This window comes from Homo sapiens, chromosome 1 (assembly GCF_000001405.40).
Source record: "Homo sapiens chromosome 1, GRCh38.p14 Primary Assembly".
NCBI classification, from domain to species: Eukaryota; Metazoa; Chordata; class Mammalia; order Primates; family Hominidae; genus Homo; species Homo sapiens.
Window position 1 is genome coordinate 70,768,448 of NC_000001.11, and position 22,872 is coordinate 70,791,319.

Genomic DNA, 22,872 nt, shown 5'->3' on the forward strand with positions numbered 1-22,872 from the left:
TTCATTCCTCTAGTGATCAGTGATATTGAGCTTTTTTTTTTGTATGCTTCTGGGCTGCATGTGTATCTTCTTTTGAGAAGTGTCTGTCTGTTCATGTCCTTTGCCCATTTTTTAACTTTTTTTTTGTTTTTCTCTTGTAAATTTGTTTAAGTTCCTTATAGATGCTGGATATTAGACCTCTGTTGGATGCATAGTTTGCAAATATTTTCTCCCATTCTGTAGGTTGTATGTTTACTTTGTTTATGGTTTCTTTTACTGTGTAGAAGCTCTTAAGTTTAATTAGGCGACACTTCTCAATTTTTGCTTTTGTTGTGATTGCTTTTGATGTCTTTGTCATGAAATCTTTGTCTATTCCTATGTCCAGGATGGTATTGCCTAGGTTGTCTTCCAGGGTTTTTATAGTTTTGGGTTTTACATTTAAATCTTTAGTCCAACTTGAGCTGATTTTTGTATATGATGTAACGAAGGTGTCCAGCTTCAATCTTCTGCGTGTGGTTAGCCAGTTATCCCAGCACCATTTATTGAATAGGGAGTCTTTTTTCCTCGCTTTTTTTTTTTTGTTGACCTTATTGAAAATCAGATGGTTGTAGCTCTGTGGCATTATTTCTGGGCTCTTTATTCTGTTCCATTGTGTCTATTTTTGTCCCAGTACCAGGCTGTTTTAGCTACTGTAGTCCTGTAGCATAGTTTGAAGTTGGGAAACGTGATGCCTCCAGCTTTGTTCTTTTTGCTTAGGGTTGCCTTGCCTATTTAGGCTACTTTTTGGTTTCATATGAATTTTAAAATAGTTTCTTCTAGTTGTGTGAGAATGTCATTGGTAGTTTGATAGGAATAACTCATAATGGTTGTTTTTATTGAATCTGTAAATTTCTTTGGGCAGAATGGCCATTTTAACAATATTGGTTCTTCCTGTCCATGAGCATGGGCTGTATTTCCATTTGTTTGTGTCTTCTCTGATTTCTTCTAGCAGTGTTTTGTAATTCTTGTTGTAGAGATCTTTCATCTCATTTGTTAGCTGTATTCCTAAGTACTTTGTTCTTTTTGTGGCATTTGTGAATAAGATTGCCTTTCTGATTTGGCTCTCAGTTTGGGTGTTGTTGGTGTATAAGAGTGCCATCCTGCAACTTTGCTGAAGTTGTTTATCAGCTAAAGGAGCTTTTGGCCTGAGACTGTGGGGCTTTCTAGATATAGAATCATGTGTCCTGCAAATTTGGATGCCTCTTTTCCTATTTGGAGTCCCTTTATTTCTTTCTCTTGCCTGAATGTTCTGGCTAAGACTTCTAATACTATGTTGAATAGAAGTGGTGAGAGACAGCATCCTTGTCTTGTGCTGGTTTTCAAGGGGAATGCTTCCAGATTTTGCCCCTTTAGTATAAGGTTGACTGTGGATTTGTCATAGATGGCTCTTGTTATTTTGAGGTATATTCCTTCAATACCTACTTTATTGAGAGCTTTTAGCATGAAGTGATGTTGAATTTTATCAAAAGCCTTTCCTGCATCTATTGAGATAATCATGTCTATTTTGTCTTTAGTTCCTTTTATATGATGAATCGTATTTCTTGATTTATATATGTTGAACAAACCTTGCATCCTGGGGATGAAGCCCACTTAATCATGGTGGATTAGCTTTTTGATGTGCTGCTGAATTTTTGCTAGTATTTTGTTGAGGATTTTTGCATCAGTGTTTATCAAGGATATTGCCTGAAGTTTACTATTTCTGTTGTGTCTCTGTCAGGTTTTGGTATCAAGATGACACTAGGCTCATAGAAGGAGTTGGCAAGAAATCCCTTCTAAACTTTTTGGGAGGAATGGTACCAGCTCTTCTTTGTACATATGATAGAATTCGGCTGTGAATCCATTAGGTCCTGGGCTTTTTTTTTGGTTGGTAGGCTATTTGTTACTGATTCGATTTCAGAGCTTATTATATGTCTGTTCAGGGCATCAATTTCTTCCTGGCTCAGTCTTGGGAGGGTGTATGTGTCCAGAGATATATCTATCTCTTCTAGGTTTTCTAGTTTTTGTGCATAGAGGTGTTCATGGTAATTTCTGATGGTTGTTTTTATTTCTGTGGGGTCAGCAGTAACATTCCCTTCATCATTTCTAATTGTGTTTATTTGAATCTTCTATATTTTCTTTATTAGAAAGAAATTAATATATCTTATTAATTTTTTCATAAAACAAACTCCTGAATTCGTTGATCTTTTGAATGGTTTTTTGTGTCTCAACCTCCTTCAGTTCAGCTCTGATTTTGGTTATTTCTTGTCTTCTTTTAGCTTTGGGGTTCATTTATTCTAGCTTCTCTAATTCTTTCAGTTGTGTTGTTAATATGAGAGATTTCTAACTTTTCGATGTGGGCATTTAGTGCTACGAATATCCCTCTTAACACTGCCTTAGTGGTGTCCCAGAGATACTGGTATGTTGTATCTTTGTTCTCATTATTTTTAAAGGACTTCTTGATTTCTGCCTTAATTTCACTATTTACCCAAAAGTCATTCAGGAGCATGTTATTTAATTACCATGTAATTGCATGGTTTTGAGTGATTTTCATAGTCTTAACTTCTGTTTTTATTGTGCTGTGGTTCAAGAGTGTGTTTGGTATGATTTCGGTTCTTTTGCATTTGTTGAAGATTGTTTTATGTTCAATTATGTGGCCAATTTTAGAGTATGTGTCATGTGATAATGAGAAAAATGTAAATTCTGTTGGTTTTGAGTGGAGAGTTCTGTAAAGGTTTATCAGATTCATTTGATCCAATTTTGAGTTCAGGTCCTGAATATCTGTGTTAATTTTCTGCCTTGATGACCTCTCTAATACTGTCAGTGGAGTGTTGAAGTTTCCCACTACTACTGTGTGGGAGTCTGTGTCTCTTTGTAATTCTCTAAGATCTTTCTTTATGAAACTGGGTGCTCCTGTGTTGGGCGCATATATATATTTAGGATAGTTAGGTCTTCTTGTTGAATTGAACCCTTTACCATTATGTAATGTCCTGGTCTTTTTTTATCTTTGTTGGTTTGAAATCTGTTTTGTCTGAAATTAGAATTGCAACCTCTGCTTTTTGCTTTTTTCCATGTGCTTGGTAGATTTTCCTTCATTCCTTTATTTTGAGCCTATAGGTTTCATTATGTGTGAGATAGGTCTCTTGAAGACAGCATACCATTGGGTCTTGCTTTTGTTTGAATCCAGTTTGTCACTCTGTGCCTTTTAAGTGGGGCATTTATCCTATTTATATTCAAGGTTAGTATTTATATGTGGATTTGATCCTGTCATTGTGCTGTTAGCTGGTTATTATGCTGGCTTGTTTGTATGGTTGCTTTCTAGTGACATTGGTCTGTGTGTTTAAGTGTGTGTTTGTATTAGCTGGTGTTAATGGTGGAGGGTCTCCAGGTTCTTGGTGTCTTGAACAAAGAATTGCACAAAACACACAAACAAAGCAAGGAAGAGATGAAGGGATTTATAAAAAATGAAAGTACACTCCACAGTGTGGGAGTGGACCCAAGCATGGGAGCACAAAGGCCCTGTTACAGTTTTTGTGAGTTTAAACGCCCTCTACTTGGGATATGCCCTATGTAAATGGAGAGGATGAAGTAAAATTACAAAGTCATTTACTTGGTCTATGCCCTATGGAGAGGATATTTCATATCATAGCTGAAGTGTGAATCAGCCTTATGTTCTCTGCCTCCAAACCCTATTTTCCTGTCTCACTGGTAGCAGTCTTTTTTTTCTACATTTAGTGCTCCTTTCAAGATCTCTTGTACAGCAGGTCCAGTGGTAATGAATTCCCTCAATATTTGCTCATCTGAAAAGGATCTTATTTCTCCTTCACTTAGGAAGCTTAGTGTAGATGGATATGAAATTCTTGGTTAAACTTTTTTTTTTTTAAAGAATGTTTGATATAGGCCCCCAGTCCCTTCTAGCTTATAGGGTTTCATCAGAGAGGCCCACTGTTAGCCTGATGGGGTCCCCTTGTAGGTGACTTGCTCTTTCTCTCTAGTTGCCTTTAACATTCTTTCTTGCATTTTGACCTTGGAAAATCTGATGATTATGTGTCTTGGGATAATCTTGTGTAGAATCTTGCAGGAGTTCTCTGTATTTCCTGAATTTGACTCTTGGCCTCTCTAGCAAGGTTGGGGAAGTTTTTATGAATGATATCCTGAAATATGTTTTCCAAGTTGTTTGCTTTCTCCCTGTCCCTTTCAGGGATGCCAGTGATTCATAGAATTTGCCTCTTTACGTAAACCCATACATCTTGGAGGTTTTGTTCATTTCTTTTTATTGTGTTTTTATTTTTGCCTGACTATCTTATTTTGAGACCCAGTCTTCAAGTTCTGAGATTCTTTCCTCAGCTTGGTTTATTCTGCTGTTAATGCTTGTGATTGCATTGTGAAATTTTTGTATTGTGTTAGCTAGCTCTGTCAGACCTGTTAGGTTTTCGTTTATACTGGCTATTTCATCCTTCAGCTCCTGTATAGCTTTATTGAAATTCTTATTTTTTTCTGGATTGGGTTTTGCCATCTTCCTCTATCTCAATGATCTTTGTTTCTATTCATATTCTGAATTTTACTTCTGTCATTCCAGCTAGTTCAGCCTGGTTAAGAACTCCTAGAGAATGGATGCAATCAGTTGGAGAACATATAAAACACTCTGGTCTTTTGAGGTTTTTTTTTTTTTTTTTTTTTCTAATCTCTGCATGTGGGTGTTCCTTTAAGTGCAGTGTAGATTGAGTACTGTCAACAGACTTCTGTTCTAAATGTTTTCACTGGGCTGAGGCTTTGTGCAGGGTCTTCACTTGAAACTGACTTCTTGTCTCTGGTTTCAGAGGCTGGTACGTTAGCAAGGTATTTTTGGTATTGAAGCTTTGGGGAATGATCCAGCAGGTGGCACTTAGGCTGACTGGTCAGTTGGTAGACTCTAGCTCAGTTGTGTAGCTCCTCTATGTTTCCTGACAGTTGCAGCCATGTTCTCTCTCAATGCTCTGAAAGTGTGGGTTTCTTTCCCCCTTGAGTGCTGGCTGTAGATTGTGGCTTGGGACTCCTGTGCTGCCCACTGCAGCTCTGGGGTGATCTCAGTGTTTCTTCCTCAACTCTGAGGCAGCAGAGGAAGGGACCTTAGTAGTGGCTATAACCAAGGGTCATTTGCTTGTTTCTTGGAGGCTCCACCCCAGAGAGATGCAGGTCGGCAATCACTCAGTGCAATCAGCCCAGAATGGAGGGTCTGTGCTGTGGGCCCAAGTCACAGGTTTCCTGTCCGGTGATGAGCAGTGGGAGGTGTTTGGGACCCAGGGGAGACAGATTGGCCTCATCTCCTTGGGTCAGCTGCAGCTTGTTGGAGGTGTGGATAAGGCACTTAGGGTCTTTTCTCCTTCATTAGTCTGATGGTGGCAAGGGCAGTTCCACTGCGGAGACAGTGGTAGAAAGGCATTCAGTTGCCCCTGGAGGCTCTGTCCAGGGAGTTGCTGAGTTACCACTGGCTTGATAGCTCTGACAGCATGTGGCTGGAGGCCTAGGCCTGGAACACCTGCCTATTGAGGAGATAAGGGAACAGGCACCCATGTAACACCCTGGCCCCTTTTCTATAGGGCTGCTGCAGTATGCTTGGGGCCTGTTGCAGTCTCTAGTCATCTCATATTTTCCAGTTCCTGGAGGGTTCACCTGTAAAGGCTGAGAAATAGAAAAGAGGGCAGCCTGCTTCTCCCTCTGGGAGCTTCATCCTAGGGAGGTACAGGTCTGTTGCCAGCCAAACACACCTGTAGGATGTGGCTGAAGACTGGTTGGGAAGTCCCATCCAGTGAGGAGGAATGAGATCGGAGACCCACCCAAAGAGAAGTCTGGTCACATTTTGGTAGAGCAGTTCTGCTGTGCTGGAGTCTGCCTCAATCCCTGGTCACCTCGAACACTCCAAAGCTCAAAGGCTAGAACAGCTAAGTCACCCAAACAGCAAAGATGGCGGCCTGCCCATTCCTCTGGGAGCTCTGTCCCAGAGAGTTTTCAAATCTCTCTTGGCTGGAGAACACAGGCAGGGGTGACTAGAGGGCCCACCCAGTGAGGAGGAATGGGATCAGGGACCTGCTTAACAAAGCAGTCTGGCCACATTTTGGTAGAGCAGTTGTGCTGTGCTGGAGGACCACTTCTGCCCCTGGTCAGCTCAGACTCTCCAAAGCCCAAAAACTAGAGAGCTAAGTCACCCAAATGGCAAAGAGGGCAGTCCACTCCTTCTCCTGGGAGTTCCATCTCAGGGAGGAGTAACCCTGCCTACTGGTGGCTGGCTGGAATTCCAAGCCAGTGGGTCTTATCCTGTGAGGTGCCATGGAAGTGGGGTCTGCAGACTGTCGCTGCTCAGCCCCCCGGATTCAGCATCTTTCCTAGGGGTATGTATGGGAGCCCACTTGGCTGGGCTGCAGCTACTTTGCTGGAAAGCCTGAGTGTCTAAGGCTCCTGAGTCTCCATGTATACCTGAGCGGCTGCTATGCTGAGACTCCATGTAAGTCTCTCAGTCGGAAGGCCCTGGTGGAGTGGGTTCACAGGGAGATCTCCTGACCTGAGTGTTGCAAAGATCCATGGGAGAAGCATGGTTTCCTGAGGTAGTACATTCACTCACTGCTTCCCTGGGAGTGGGGAGGGTCCTCTGGTTTCGTGTTGCTCCCAAATGGGGCATCATCCTGTCTTGCTTTTCTTCATTCTCCGTGGGTCAAGTTGTTTCCTTGATTAGTCCCAATGTGAATATTTGGATGTTTCAGTTGAAGGTGCTGTTTACCCCTTTGTACCTTTCCATGAGAGACATGCACACTAGCTGCTTCTACTTGGCTATCTTGGCCACCCGCCTATTCGTTTTTCTTAATATAGAACCTTATTTTTGGCTTTTAGTTTTTGACTCTTATATTGCATAACAAATTTTAAGGGCTAATGAGTGCCTGCCCACGTCCATTTCCATATGGTCTAAAAAAGTTTAATTGGCTATCAGTCTTTTGGCTCTAAGTCCCGTGGCCAAAGGAAATCCCAAAGAAACCTGAAAAACTAACTCAAACCATGACAGGAAATAGGGGGTCAGACATGCTTCGCCATGCTTACTCCCCAAATTTAAATTTAGGCCAGGATCAAAAGGCCTTTCGAAATTAAAATAAAATATTGCCCTTTCTTCCAAATGAAAAACAAAAACAAAAACAAAAAACTCCCTTGTTTAACTGGAAGACTTAGTCTTACTAAAGACTTAAAAAAAAAAAAATTCCAGGCCTGGCACGGTGGCTCACGCCTGTAATCCCAGCACTTTGGGAGGCTGAGGCAGGTGAATCACGAGGTCAGGAGTTCGATACCAGCCTGAACAATATGGTGAAACCTCATCTCTACTAAAAATACAAAAAAATTAGCCAGGCGTGGTGGTGAATGCCTGTAGTCCCAGCTACTCAGGAGGCTGAGGCAGGAGAATCACTTGAACCCAGGAGGCGAAGGCTGTAGTGAGCCGAGATGGTGCCACTGCACTCCAGCCTGCGCGACAGAGCAAGACTTCATTAAAAAAAAAAAAAGAAACCCTTGAAAATCAATTACAACCAAAACACCCCTATCAGCTATTGTTAAATACCCCCACTGCTGTTAAGCTTCAGCAAATCACTAGCTGGGGACACCTGTCCAGGATTAAACCTGTTTCTTGTGACTCCCCACAGGTATAAGAGGAAGACCCCACACCCTACATTTGTGAACCCCTAGAAGACTTAAAGCTATTGTTTTGCAAACACACAAATAAATAACATGACAAGGAAGAGCATATGCAACAATAAACCACATCTATTATTCTCATCTGGTTTTTATCTTTCCTAAGACCTTTGATAACTACTTTATTATTACTAATTTTTGGCCCTTGCTTGTTTAACCTCTCAGTTAAGTTTGTATCTTCTAGACTACAACAATTCCACATGAAGATGATGCTGGCACAAAGCTTCCAACCCATTCTGTCTTCTTACCCAGAAAACAAAAACATCCTGGTGTTGGGCCCCTTACATCAGGTATCCAGAGATTTTTTACTCCTCCAATAGAAGGAGTAAGAGTCTATGCCCATAGAATCAGCAAGAAGCAGTTACAGAAGACGGACGTCTTCCCTTCTGCGGTCCCCTTAAGATTAAGGAGTCTCTAATCTCTGAGAGAAGAATGAAGGAGACCAGCAGGACTTGTTTTCTGGTCACAACCCTGCTGACCAAAACAGGATCTCACCCATAAAGGATGAAGTGAAAAAAGTGGCAGGAACGAGCAGATGGCGATAAAAGCAATCCCTAGCTGCCCTCATTGCTCGTTAGCATAAGACATTCCCACCAGCACCATGACGGTTTATAAATGCCATGACAGGCCGGAGGTGGTGGCTCACACCTGTAATCCCAGCACTTTGGGAGGCCGAGGTGGGTGGATCATGAGGTCAGGAGATCGAGACCATCCTGGCTAACACGGTGAAACCCTGTCCCTACTAAAAATGCAAAAATTAGCTGGGTGTGATGGCATGCGCCTGTAGTCCCAGCTACTCAGAAGGCTGAGGCAGGACAATCGCTTGAACCCAGGAGGCAGAGGTTGCACTGAGCCGGCACTGCACCACTGCACTCCAGCCTGGGCGACAGAGTGAGACTCCATCTCAAAAAATAAATAAATAAATAAATAAATAAATAAATAAATAAATAAAAAATGCCATGACAGTGACCCAGAAGCTATGACTTTATTCCATAGCAATGGCCTGGAAATTACTGCCCCTTTCCTAGAAAGTTCTAAATAACCCGTCCCTCAATTTGCATTAACCTGCCCCTTAATTTGCATGTAATTGAAAGCGAGTAGAGGTGAGTAACCATACAGTTGCCAACAACCCATACATTGCAGCCCCTGGGTGCACTGCCTATGAGTTAGCCCTACTTCACAAGGAGCAGTACCCTTTAATAAAAGATTGCTATATAACAACACCAGTTTTCCCTGGAATTCTTTTCTGAGTGAAACCAAGAACGCTTCTGGGCTAAGCCCCAATGCTGGGGCTCACCTGTCTTGTGTCGGACCCATCAATTGATATGAAATGTGATTTATTTCAGGCAGAAAAATATTTACTCTGTTTCATTTTCCCTAGCTCCTTGGACAAATGTGTTTTGAGTTTCAAGTGAGCAAACCTTCAATGTGTCTGCCATTTTGGGGAAGAAGTTGTAACTTGGAGTGAAGGTAGAGGGATTTATTATGAGAGCTTTGCTAGCAGACATCTCATTCTTTAAGACAAAATCAACGCACAAACATAATTGGTGAGAAATACAACATAGTGGTTAAGATATAAGCTTTAGCATCAGAGCTTGGTTTAAAATTCAGTTATGTTTTTGACAATTGCATGACTCAGGGATGACAGATTAATCCTCACTTATAAAATGGAGATGATAAGACCTATCTGAGGAGAATGTTGTGTGGGTAAGGGAAATAATTACTCTAGATCATTTATCCTGTGCCCATAACATACTAATAGCTGAATAAACTGTGGCTTTTATTATTACAAATAATGAAACTAACTGAAGGCACCACATTCTCTAAACAGTACTCCCTGCTCTTTAAGAATTCAACAGGTTTGCAATTTGTTCATATCTCCCCTATAACTATGTGACATATTATTAAATTGATCTAACCCTCTGAACCTATTGATGAAATGAAAACATTTAATCCTGTCCTCAATCAAGTACAGGCCTAGGCCACTGTAAAGACACAAAGCTCTGAATTTCCAGGATGTAAGTGGAAGTAAGTCAGTGAACCTAAATTATGACTCCTCTTGCTGGGAACATTCGATGACTAGAGTGAAGAGCTGTGTGCTGGCAAGAATATGGCCCTGTAATATGCTGGGAAATTTTTCCTAAATGGTTCCATTGACTGCATCCTGAACTCTCCCACCCCAAAATACTCCAAAACAAATCCTCTTCTCCAACCAACACTGATTTCAAAATTATGTGAAGGAAAATGCCAGGAGAGTAAAATCCAGGGTGATCTTATTCAACTGATATTTTCTGGTACAAGTAAATTTACTTTTTTCTCTTATAAATAAGCTGAATGACATAAAGATAATTCAAGATGGAAAAATTACAGTAATATTTTTAGCATCATGGCAAGCAGCCAGTTCCTCCAAATTAGAAATGCCAGATAAAAGTAGAAGATACTCAGTTAAATGTGATTTTAAGATAAACTATAATTTTTTTTAAGTGAAAGGATGTTCTTAGTCAGTCTTGACCCTTGTAGGTGGACTTAGAAAAATTGCCAGGGCACCTCCAATGACCAGGCTCCATGTTGGATGTACATGTACAACATACACATTTAACTGGACATCGTATATTTTTATTTGTTAAATCTGGCAACTCAAATCCAAATGAACTGAATTATAATCGCCTTTATAGTTACTTGTCATACTTAATTACCCTTTAAAAAATTATATTCTGGGACACCTTTCAGATATCTTCTGGTACTTGTTATTATTTTAAAGAGATGACAAATTTGTAGATTAGAAAGTTACTGAATGTATACTTTCTCTCCTTATGGAGTCATCATTAACATAAATTGCCATTTATATTGCTATTTATATTAATGATGACTCCATAAGGAGAAAATTAACTTGCATAAAAATAAAGCTGAATTCTTCATAGGCAAGCATGAAATAAATATGCCAGTATAGGCTTCTGGGAACCAGAGAGAGAAATTCTAACTTCATGATTGGAACCAGCTGGACATTTTTAAAAATTTTAATGGCCATGACCATTTAGACACAAAGAATCTTCCAATTTCAAATCCTGGACAGTTTTTACCAATGATGTCACAACAGAGTACTAATATTTGGGGCTTCAAATGAAATCTTTATCATGTAGGGATAGATCGAAATTTGAAATTTCACCCATGCTGATTTTAGACAGTGCCAGATTTATACTATTAAAGTTTTAATACTTATCTTACCAGATGATCTTCGGGTAGCTGATAAGAGATGAAACCTGAGAAATTCATTCCAAATCCCAGTGAGCAGTCATACGGCCCTTTCTCAGGACAGTCTGAAAAAGTTCTATAAAATTTCCCTCTCACAAGGGGAACTATTTGTTCATCTGAATTATGCAGTGTGTGAGAGAAGATTTGCTAAGATGTAGCAATTCGCTTCAACATGTGACCTTTGCTTGCTGAGGTCTCTCAAGCCTTGGGGACAATTTAAAGTGTAGATAATAATCTTGATGATCTCTGGCCCCTAAACTCCCCACAGAAAGATTCCAAATCTCTCTGCATTTCCTGTGCAGTCCCTAGTGGGACTTACTCATTGATTCAAAACGAGTAAGACTCAATTCTTGACCTCAAAAGTGTGGTAGGAACAATATGGCTGTGGTCTTGGTCATCACCATTCTCCATCCATGACTGTTGTGCTCTGCTGCCAATGACTCACGGCCCTAAAACTGAGGAAGCATCTCTAAGCCAGGGTCCGCATGATTGGTTGCAGAGAGTGCATCTCTCTAGGTGGATCCTGGTAAGCAAGCTGCTGTTTTATATTTTGCAGCATCCCTCTCAAGGAGCCTGCGACGAATCCCCCGTGCTGGGTCAGAAAATATTTCAATGGTTCTTACTGTGTCTCATTGAAAAGAATCCCTCTCCTCTGATCTTGCACCCAGTGTCCCAACTGTGCTTCTGTGCATCTCCATTCTTTTCTTCACTACAGTGAGTTTCCTACTTATCCAGGGAACTTTGTCAGTCTTTTATATATTGTGACTCACTTTAGAACCTTAGATTATATTGTAAGTTTAAGTGTTTTCTTCTCTGTTTTATCCAAAATTACGTACTTATGTAAGTAACAATCTTCTGGATCTACTGTTTTGTTCATTCATCGCTCTATTTATTCAAATAATATTTTGGCTAAACAATTTCAAGCCAAACAATTTGATTTCTGCCCTCATGAATCTTGTAGCTCAGTAGCAGACACAGGGGCAGCAGAAATATCATTTAAAAAAAAACAGTATCTGTTGTCTTCTCAATTCTCTCTAAATTTTGTTGTCCTAAAACTTCTCACACATTAAACGAATTACATTCATTTTATTCAGAAAGAATGCAGTTCTTGCCTAGAAGAAAGGGATATTACTTGAGTTTGGGTTTCAAATTAGACTTTTAAGTACATTTAGAGCAGTAGTCCTGAAAGCTAGTTTTACTTAAGAAATAGATTTTCTGAATCCTAAAAATATTCCTTTAAATATCAGACACTAAAGCTTAGAGGATTGACGAGAGCATAAACTATAGAACAGGGAGGACTGTATTCCTCAATGGAATCACTGAAGTTCCAGCCCCATGAAGAAGACAAAAAAGTCCTTTCAGTGCTGTGTGAGGAACTGGAGAAAGATTGAAAAAGGGTAAAACCAGGTGAAGATGCTACCTGGGCCTCGTCTTGCCTCAACATACATCATCTCCTAGGCCTTGACTCAGAGTGGGAATCAGGAAGAAGATAGTAAGTGTGGGGAGAATGAAAGTACGTTGGACCAAACCAAGTAAACAGAATGAGATTATCTAAGTTGCTGCTTATGGAAGTGATCATCAAGAGTCCCCATTCATCCTTCTTTCTGGGCATATGGCTCCCTGAAATTAGGCATGGCCATGGGACTTCACTTTGGACAATAACATGTGAGCAGAAGTGATGCTTTTTACCTCTTAGTAGAAGCACCAAACACACAAGATTCTGCAGGCTGTTTTCTGCTAGGCAGCTGAGAAGGACACAGACGGCACCATAACAAGATATGGAAGACTGGCAGCTTGGATTCCTCAGAATGCCAAGCAGCCGTATTTGGTTTCCATCTATCCTTTCTTTATTCTATTTCTCAATTTGTACTAAGCACAAGAGGAGGAACCAAGTGGTTTTGGGTGGAAATCATGAATTTGGTTTTGAATATATGAGTGTGTGATGCCTGAGACATCGAAGAAAATATGTTAAGTATGTAGATGGACATATAAATACAGAATTCATAGGAAACATCTATAGAGATATAAATTCATATGTAGAAAGGATATATAAACCCTGTCTCCCACCCCAACCGCATTTCTTTCATTAGAAAAGATATTTTGAATCCAGGAAGGATTTAACTTATGAAGATCCCGTTTAACTGATACTAAGTAGTTTGAAATGGAAAGAACTAAGTTGTTCCCTGGTTTTGAACTTGCTATTAAGATGAGAGAACCATTGCCTAGTGACCTTAACTTCATCATAGAAACAAAAGAGATTAACAAAAGCAATCAAGATAGTGAAGAAACATGAATTTTAAATATTCAAGCAATGGTGTTGGGACTATGGTGGGGAAGAGAATGTCAGGAAGAGAAAGAATAGCTATTCAATGTATTAAAATAAATTTATGTCAGAAGGGTGGTGTTAGATGTGGTACATTTCCAGAAGATAGAAGATATAGGGGCAAATTTTGCTTTGAAGTAAGCAAGAGCTTAACATTTTTTTTTCGGCTTCTTAGAGTAATATATCTTCATAGCAAAAATTTTTGAAAAATGTAGAAAAGTAAAATTTTAAAAATCACTCATAAGCTCTTCTCCCAAAGATAATCACTGTTAATATTTTGTGCACATACATATAAATATGTACATATGTTTATTCACTGGTTCATTCAGTAATCGTTTACTAAGCACCTATTATGTTCCAGATGCTCCTTTAGGCAGTCCTGTAATTGATGCAATTCTCTACTATAGGACATTTAGGTTGGGTTCACTATCTTTCTACTATACTGAATATCTTTAATATAAATTTGTATGTGTGGCTCTGATTATTTGTTTAGTTAATATTCTTAAAGTAGACTTTCTGAGTCAAAAGATATTCTGAAATTGCTTCCTCCCAAATGATTGATATACTTTTTCATTAGCAGTGTAGAAAAGAATTATTTTCAACTGCACTTACAAACATCATATTTTTGGTTAATCTGTGCTGATGAAAGTTAAAACACATATATTTAATTTGCATTTTTTTTACCAATAAGATTGAAAATTTTTGTGTTTTTAGTGAATTAGTATATCATTTACATTTAAAGTTGAATGTAGACTGAAAGTTTATATCCCACCAAATTCATGTGTTGTGACCTAATCCCCAGTGTGATGGTATTTGAAGTTGAGGCTTTTGGAAGGTGATTAGGTCATGAAAGTGAAGCCCTCATAAATGGCATTAGCACCTTTATAAAAGAGATGACAGATGTGCCCTTGTCCCTTCCACCATGTGAGGATGCAGCAAGAAGACACTGTCTATGAACCAGGGTACAGGTTCTCAGCAGACACTGAATCTGCTGGCACCTTGGTCTTGAACTTCCTAGCCTCCAGAAATGTGAAAATAAATTGCTGTTGCTTATAAACCACCCAATCTATGGTACTCTGTTATAGCAGCTCAAAGGACTAAGACAGTTAAGTAAATTTAAATAATGTATAAAATATTTATAAAGAATAAAGAGAAAATAAGCTCCAAATGCCCATCACCCATCTTAAGAAAATAAATACTTTTATTACCTTTCAAACCTCTGTACACTTTAGTATATCCTTCCCCCTCCAAAGAAAGTACTATTCTCAACTTTGAGTTTATCATTTTCTTTTCTTTTTTTTTTTTTTTTTTGTGATGGAGTCTCAGTCTGTCACCCAGGCTGGAGTGCAGTGGCACAATCGCAGCTCACTGCAGCCTCCCCCTCCCAGGTTCAAATGATTCACCTGCCCCAGTCCCCTGAGTAGCTGGGATTACAGGCACCCACCACCATGCCCAGCTAATTTTGTATTTTTTAGTAGGGACAGGGTTTCACCATGTTGGCCAGGCTGGTCTTGAACTCCCAACTTCAGGTGATCTGCCCACCTCGACCTCCCAGAGCACTGGGATTACGGGCGTGAGTCACTGCCCCCAGCCGAGTTTATAATTTTCTTACTTTAGCATTTTACCACATACATTTCTATGTCAAATGACATAGTGCTTATTTTTGTATTTTAAAAAGCGGTATGAGTGGTCTCATACTGTACACAAACTTTCACACATACCCCAAATCTCCTTTGTACTCAACATTAAGAGATGTAAGCCTGTTTTTTCATATGGTTGTATTTCATTCATTTTCACTGTTAAAGTACAACGTATAATATATAGTGTTATATACAATATTTTTTAGTCTTTCTTCCATTAATTAACATTTGAGTTGTTTCTAGTTATATTAGTCCATTTTGCATTGCTATACAGGAATACCTGAGGCTGGGTAATTTCTAAAGAAAATATGTTTATTTGGCTCATGGTTCTGCAGACTGTACAAGAAACATGGCCCCAGAATCTGCTTCTGATAAGAGCCTCAGGAAGCTTCCAATCATAGCAGAAGGTGAAGGGGGAGCAGGTGTGTCACATGGCAAGAAAGAAAGCACGAGAGAGAGGAGGAGGTGCCAGTCTCATTTTAAACAACCAGCTCTTGTGAATAGAGTGAAAACTCACACATTACTGCAGGGAGGGCACTAAGCAATTCATGAGGGATCCACTCCCATCACCCAAACACCTCCTACTGGGCCCCACCTTCAACATTAGGAGTCACATTTCAACGTGTGATTTGGAGGAGACAGACATCCAAACTATATCACTAGTTTTGTGATATTACAAAGTATGTTGCTTTGAGTATTTTGTATGGCATTTCTATCCATTTATATGTGCAAGGGTTTCTCTATGGAATAGTTGTGGGAGCTTAATCCCTGTGTCATAGAATGAGTGCATTTGTGATTTAAAAAATAAGTTGTTGTTATCATTTTATATTGATTTACATCCCCATAAAAAGACTTAAGTATTGTTACAAAGCGTACCAATTTACATTTTTACCCAAAGACATAGATGTCTAGTTGTTTCATATCCATGCCAACACTGAGTATTTTTATTTTTATTTTTAATTTTTTTTAGAGACAGTCTCATTATGTTGTCCAGGCTAGAGTGCAGTGACTACTCATACACATGATCATAGTGCACAATAGCCTTGAACTCCTGGGCTCAAATGATTTTCTTGCTTTAGCCTCTGAAGCAGCTGGAACTACAGGTGCATGCCACTGTGCCTGGCCTAACATAATATTATCAGATATTTTCAGATTTTCCAATTTGGTGCATATAAAATACTATCTCATTGTGAGTTTGTTTTGTACTTTTCAGATTACTAATGATGTTGGACATGTTTTTTTTTGTGTGTGTTTGGCTAATTCCTATTTTCTCTACTTTTCCTTTTGTCTCCCCCCTCTGCTTCCATTTACTTGTTAGTTTGACATTATTGCATTATCAGAGTACATAACAATAGATTACACTCCATTATTGTTATTGTTGCCTCATCTGTTGCAATAACTGGGAATCACATGTATCTTTAAAAACTGATAAATCAAGCAATAGAAATTAAATATAATAATACAAAGAGAAACACTAAGAATTATACTATTAATGACTATTGATCACACTTAACATAGTGAGTTTTATGAGAAAGTGTTTAAAATATCCAAGGAGATGTTGCCTTCCATTTTATAGAAATTTTCCAGAGCATGGAATCAGATGGGATCATTTCTACATAATTTTAGAAAGTTAGCAAAATCTAACCAAAAAATAGTACTAATCAATTATTCTCTAATTATGAGCAGAGACACAAAGCTACAAAAGGAGATATTAGCAAATAGATTCTTAAAAAAAACTACATGAAAAACAGGTAGAATTTATTCCTCATATACAAAAAAATTAGTATTATGAATTCTACTTATGTAATGTATTTAACAATAGGTCAAAGGAAGAAAGCTACAAAACCAATTCAATAACATCTGAAGCCTGAGAGGAAAATGAAAGACAAGAGGCTGTGGCTGCAGCTGTGTCTGCTGACAACAGGATAAAAATGGTTGCATTGAGAGTGAGCTGCATTTTCACCAGGCAGAGCAAACTGGGAGCTAATGTGTTTCTTGGAAATCAAAAGAGGACTCCAAGAATAGAAGCTTTTAAGAGGACTGGCTGGAGAGTCAAAGAAGATCCATTAGCTTCTGGACCACTGAAAACCTAAGGGCTGATGGTGGGGCAGGGTAAGTGGCCGGCAGCAGGGAGACATTTTCTGTATCTAGGATGGTATAGAAAAGACCCCCACTGGACAGATCTACAAAGAACAACTAAAGAGTCTCATGGTAGAACAGGTCAGCTCTGGACATCATTCAAATCCAGGGGAGCCTCTTATACTGGATTGCAATTGTGTTGGGCATGTACAATGGTGTTCTTTTTCTCTAATGGCTTCTTTCTTCTGGTCAGTCTCTGGAAGGGGTGAAAGAGTGAGAAATAGTAGCCAGCAAGTGTAGAAAGAGATGTGGAAGAGAGAACGGGGAAACAGAAATTGCATTTCTCCCACGTTCCAAATGTAGGTTATCCGGGTTAAATGTAGGCCCCACCTGACTAGGCAAAGATTTTTTCCTTTGTTGTGAGTTTGAAAAGAACTAAACATCATACTGAAGTGGAATTATTGAAATTGGATAGACCCAGGTTCAAATGTTGACTCAGTTATGTAACATCTTGTGAATTTTGACAGGTTCCTTAACTCCACTGAGTCTGTTTTTATACCCATGAAATGGATGTAGGATTGTTATGAACATTAATTGAAAAATTATATATAAAATAAGTGTCCAGCATAGTTCCTGGCACATACTAGTGCTTGAAAACTACCAATCAACTTCATCAATTTGTGTTATGCCCTGCATGGGCACATATTTGTCCTGATACTCTTCAAAATGTAGAAGTACCCACAGAAAAATTGTCTCAGTTCAAGCACAGTATTATTAATATTCTACTGAGTACTAAGTATGGTCGTTAATAGTCTAATATGAGGAAGTCAAAACAGTCTCTGGAAAAAGTCTTTCTGCAAGCTTTTTGAAGCTTCAGGGATTGCTACAAAGACTGGAAAATCGATCTTGAACTCAGCCTTTTAATTTCTTTTCATGATTACTGTTCTCAAATGGAGAATGCAATTAAAATTAATGCTGTCTTAGTTCACTTGCCTCAAAATAAACATTGATCAAATTCTATGTGAAGGGTCTGTAACATCTCTTCTATAATCATTTTAAAATATATTAACAGAGATCTGTGTATTGTAGAACAAAGGGGACTGTTTCTGGGAGACAGGAGTTCTGAGTTCTGGCTCTAGCTCTGCCATGTTCTGTGTGACCTACGAAAAGGCACGTCTTCTGTTTGAGTCCCCTTCTCCTCTGTAAGATGGGTACATTAATACTTCACAGGAGTACTTAAGGATCACACACGTCAAGCATGATAATGGCAAAAATTACAATAAACTTACAATGAAATATTATGGTTGCTACCTACATTCCTGAAAAAATCTGATTAACACAAGCCTCCCAGATATCAAGATCATTGGGACTTCACACAAATATGTTACAATGCTTATTGTTATTATGGTATGAAGCGAATGTTACATGGAGTACTCAGAGGGCTAACTAGCTTATGTTATAATGAAGGTTATTTCTTTCATTTTTTGATGACAGCCAAAAAGAGAGAGATATGAAAGTAGTGTTCACATACTGCTGAACATTAAACATATTTATTAAATATTTATACCTCAAATGATCTAAAATGATCAGAAACTGAGATATGATACATATAATTTTGCACTCTTTTCCAAACAGCTTACTTTTGCTAGAGCAAAATGTCAGTCCAGGCTTATAGTTGGTCAAATGTACCATTTAGATTTACTTAATTTTTCTCCTCAGAGACTTCTCTGATGTCTCAACAAACTGTCAACCAGGAGATGGTTTACTGCTACAAATATTAACTTAGCTCTTGTCAAAACCTGTTAGCCATGACATGAGCTCTTACACTTTTATGGAACTTCTAGATTTCAGTTTAGATGGAAATAAAAAATATTCTATTGCTATAGCATAAATCTGCCTTTAATAGCCTAAGTGTTGAATTGTGGCTATCAAAAAGAGTACACACTGTGCATAGGGGATAATTAACACTTAAATAGAAGCATAACTATGCCAGGGATTGTTTTTATCAGCCATCACAGGGTCATAAATTTCACATTATAAAAGTTTGTCCTTCTACCAGCCTTGATTGGGCTAAACAAAATGTTCACTCTTAATTTCAGATCATGAAACCAGCAACATTTATATCCAGACTGATGCCAGAGGAGGTAAAATTTCCCTGAAGGGGGAATAAAAGTTATCTGCTACCCTGATAGAAGGACTGACCCAACTGCATGCTCATACTTGCCATCAATAATTACTAGATGAGAAAGAAATGAGAAATCACCTTTTTGACAGGATTTGAGACATCAAAAAGGTCCTATTTTGCTGGCTCAGAGAGCTACTATTTCAGGGGTAGTAGACTTCAGAGGTAACATTTCTCAGGATTACCTAAAACAAAAAGGGTAAGAAGATGCAAAGGAAATCCTTATGAAAAGAAGCTCAAGTTTCTCTTAACAAATATTTATTTACCCATTTTTCTTCCTCTAAATATCCAGGCTAACTGTGTTTCATTCAACATTCAACAAATATTTATTGATCAACTAATAGTTTTTTTTAAAATTCTTTAAGACATTGGTGACAAAGGTGGATAAGGCATAGTCCCTATTTTTAAAGAGCACATTGTGTTTGGGAAAGAAAAATGTGTAACCAAGCAATCAGGAAATAATAGGGTATGATGGAAAAGGCCTACTCAATGCTATGGGAGAACAGAAGCATGAAAAAATCTATATTGCTAAAGGGTTTCAATAAATATTTCACAGAGAGACTAACATTTAGTATGAGTCTTGAAGGTTAAATAAAAGATGATATTCCAGGAAAAAAGAAATTGATTGTGCAAAAGCATGGAATATTAAAAAGCATGCCACCTCCAGGAAATAAGTAATTAAGTATGTTTGTCTGGATGATAGTTTTATTAGAAGAGATTGTCAACTGCCAACTCTCAAGACACCAGCAAAATCACATGTTTGATCAAGCAAAGAGAAGTTTATTTCTTACTGTAGTAAGGGAATCCACTGACTACCTTGGTGGAGTCTTAGTGGTGTTTTGCAAGGGAAGAATCAAAACTGGCATTTGTAAAGATTTAGAGTCTACTTTAAGGCATGTCTTTCAGTGAAGTGGTCTGATTGGTACTGAAAGATGTTATAATATAATAATGTATAATTAATGGACACAGTAAAGGGAGTACACTGAAGAGTCTTTAAGAGTAAATAATCATTTGTTGGGCCCAGCTTAATAATCTATTGTTTCGAGAAGAGGCTATTTACTTAAAGAGAATGAATTGATTTTTCAGATAAATAAATTTTGAAGATTCTGAAATAAGCAGTTATTTGCAACTCCATCTTCCTGGGCAAGGATTTCCTGGAATAATTAAGTCAGGTTAATGCACAGGTTGAAAAGTTAAATTGTGTTAATATAGACAGTAAGCTGTCTGGGTGTATATGCTTTCAGTTTTCAAGAATAGAAATAGACAAAATTTGAAACAGAATTTGAAGCTGAATCGGGCCATTTTGAAGAATTTGAAATGGGAAAAGAAAGGGGAAGGGATCAAGCTTTGCCCCATGCTAAAGTTCCTTAAAAGAAGTTAATTTTTATAGCAATCCTATAAGACAGATATTATTATACCCATATTCCAGATGATACTGAAGCTTAGGAAATTTATATTTTTAAAAATAATCCTTGCCCAGTGTCTCTTAAGGAATAGCGGAGCCAGATTTCAAACCCAGTCCTAGATGAACCCAAATCCTCTTGCTCTTTCCCTTACACAGTGTATTTTCAGTAGACCATAATGCAAAGTAGACTACTTTCAGTAGACTGTAAAGTAGAGGTCCAAAATGAAACGTTTTCTTTTAGAGATTGACTACTCAAGGTGTGGACCCATGGACCACCTGGTTGTTTATTAGAAATGCAGAACTTGAAGCTTCACCCCAGAACTACTGAAACAAAATTTGCTAACAAGATCTCAGGTAATTGTTGTGTGCATTAAACTTTGAGAAGCAGTTTTAGAAAACTTTGTAGAGTTCTTGAGTTGCCATCTCCATAAGGTGAGCTCTTGTTGCACAATGGAATTTTCTGCACTAGTTTCTAGCCTTGTCTTTTTTCCCTTGTCTTCCTCATCTATGACAGGAAAACGAAAGCAATAGAGACTTCACTAGCATAATATGCTATGGAAACTCTGCTATGGAAGTATAATTAATTTAGCAAGAGTTGCTTTTCTTATAGATGTTCCTCCCTTAAGACTTTGAACACTTGAATCTACTCCTAGGTGGAAAGTAAAACCTACCATCTAAGATGGAGCTCCTCTCCAGGACAGAAATGAGACTGTGGATTAGGTGATGAAGCAAGGAAGAATAGAAGGGAATAAAAGACCAAAGGAAAGGTGGGAGGAGGAAGAAATGGGAGAAAAGACACTGGAGACCAGACTTCAAAGAGACTGCTAACTATCCACCAAGAGACATTAGTAGGGACTTTTTGGGAAAACAAATGTTTTATATCATCTGAATCTATGTATGTTGGAAATAATAAGATCATAATATTTCCTTTTTGTAAATTATTTGTAGCTGCTTAGTAACTAAGTCTTTCATCACTTTCTTCATTTATTCACTCATCAACACATTTCTTCAATGCCTACAATATGTCACTGTTCTAGGCAGTAGAGATACATTCTTTAAATTCACGGCTTCTTGGTTCTTATATTCTTGTGGGAAGAAGAGAGAGAGAATTAATATGGGGAAAATATGATTTCAGATGTCAAAATTAGAGAACTTCTCCAGGTATAGTTAAAAATAGATACTAAGACTAAGAGGACAAGTGGCGTTTGAAATCAGTATTTTTGTGAGGGAAGTGGACAAAAGCAGGGAGGCTGCACATCTAACAGAATGATGCATCACCGTGCCTTATTTCCAGTCAGTATTCAGCACTCGGATGGGCATTGCAGCTCAGATGGGAGGTGAAAAGGGAGTGTTCCTTGTACCCTGTGGGCATTTTGTGGTATTTCTCAATTTCTTATCTACAGCATTCTCTTTTTAGGCTTTACACACAAGGCACTCTTAATTTTCCTGCCTTCAGATCTTGTTGCTCAACCTCTCTTGTACATTTTTTTCTGGCTGTTAAAAGTAACAAAAAATATTTGCCCAATTATCACCTAAGAAAGCCTCCCAGCAACATGACTTGCAGCTCCTGGGGCATTTTCTGTGTGACACATCTCTATTTTAGAAGCTTCTGTGGGACAACCTGCAGAGTGGCCTAGTTGTTCATCTGTGACTGGGTAATGTGGCCCAGTGATGTGGTAGAGGTTCTAACCCACTTCCCTTAAGGCAAAGGTTTTTCACCGTGTTCACTCTAGGTGTGTGGATAATGATAACTGCAGTCTGTATAGCGTGTGACAGTTTACAAGGGCTCTAGGTGTGTGGATAATAACTGCTGTTTGTATAGTGTGTGACAGTTTGCAAGGGTGTTCATCACACTGTCTAATATTGTTATTTATATATTACAGCTAAGAAAATGGGTATACAAAGACAGTAAGCATCCTTCCCCAAAATCTCTGTGCCCAGGAAGCAAGTGCCATGTCTTCTGATTTCCAACCCGTCTGTTCTTCCCACTCTTCCAATGCTGATACTCCATCATAGTGAGTCCCTCTTCCTCTCCTTCTGCTGGCTTTTTCCTCTCCTTGTTATAGTTTGGAATTTTTTAAGGCTAAAGGAAAAGAAAAGAAAAATCAAAGAAAAGATTAAAAGCCATCCTTAATTAACTGCTGACATTATCTTACCTTACCTTTCATTTTCAGTGCCTTGTTTATAGGCATGAAATGCTTAGCATTCTTCTATCACCATTTTAAAAAATAAAAGTAGCATTATTAGAACCTCCCTTCACAAATTGTAGACAACATTGCTAGTCCTATTG

General features: G+C 38.6%; 1 long non-coding RNA gene across 1 annotated transcript in view; it reads left to right on the plus strand.

Moving 5' to 3' along the window:
* The window catches only part of LINC01788 (long intergenic non-protein coding RNA 1788), an 80,016-nt gene extending 61,995 nt beyond the window's left edge, over positions 1 to 18,021 (plus strand). The window contains exons 6-7 of the long non-coding RNA NR_125938.1: positions 9,083 to 9,248; positions 16,739 to 18,021. This is a non-coding gene — a long non-coding RNA (long intergenic non-protein coding RNA 1788). The remainder of the gene's footprint in view (positions 1 to 9,082; positions 9,249 to 16,738) is intronic.
* The last annotated feature ends 4,851 nt before the right edge of the window (positions 18,022 to 22,872 follow it).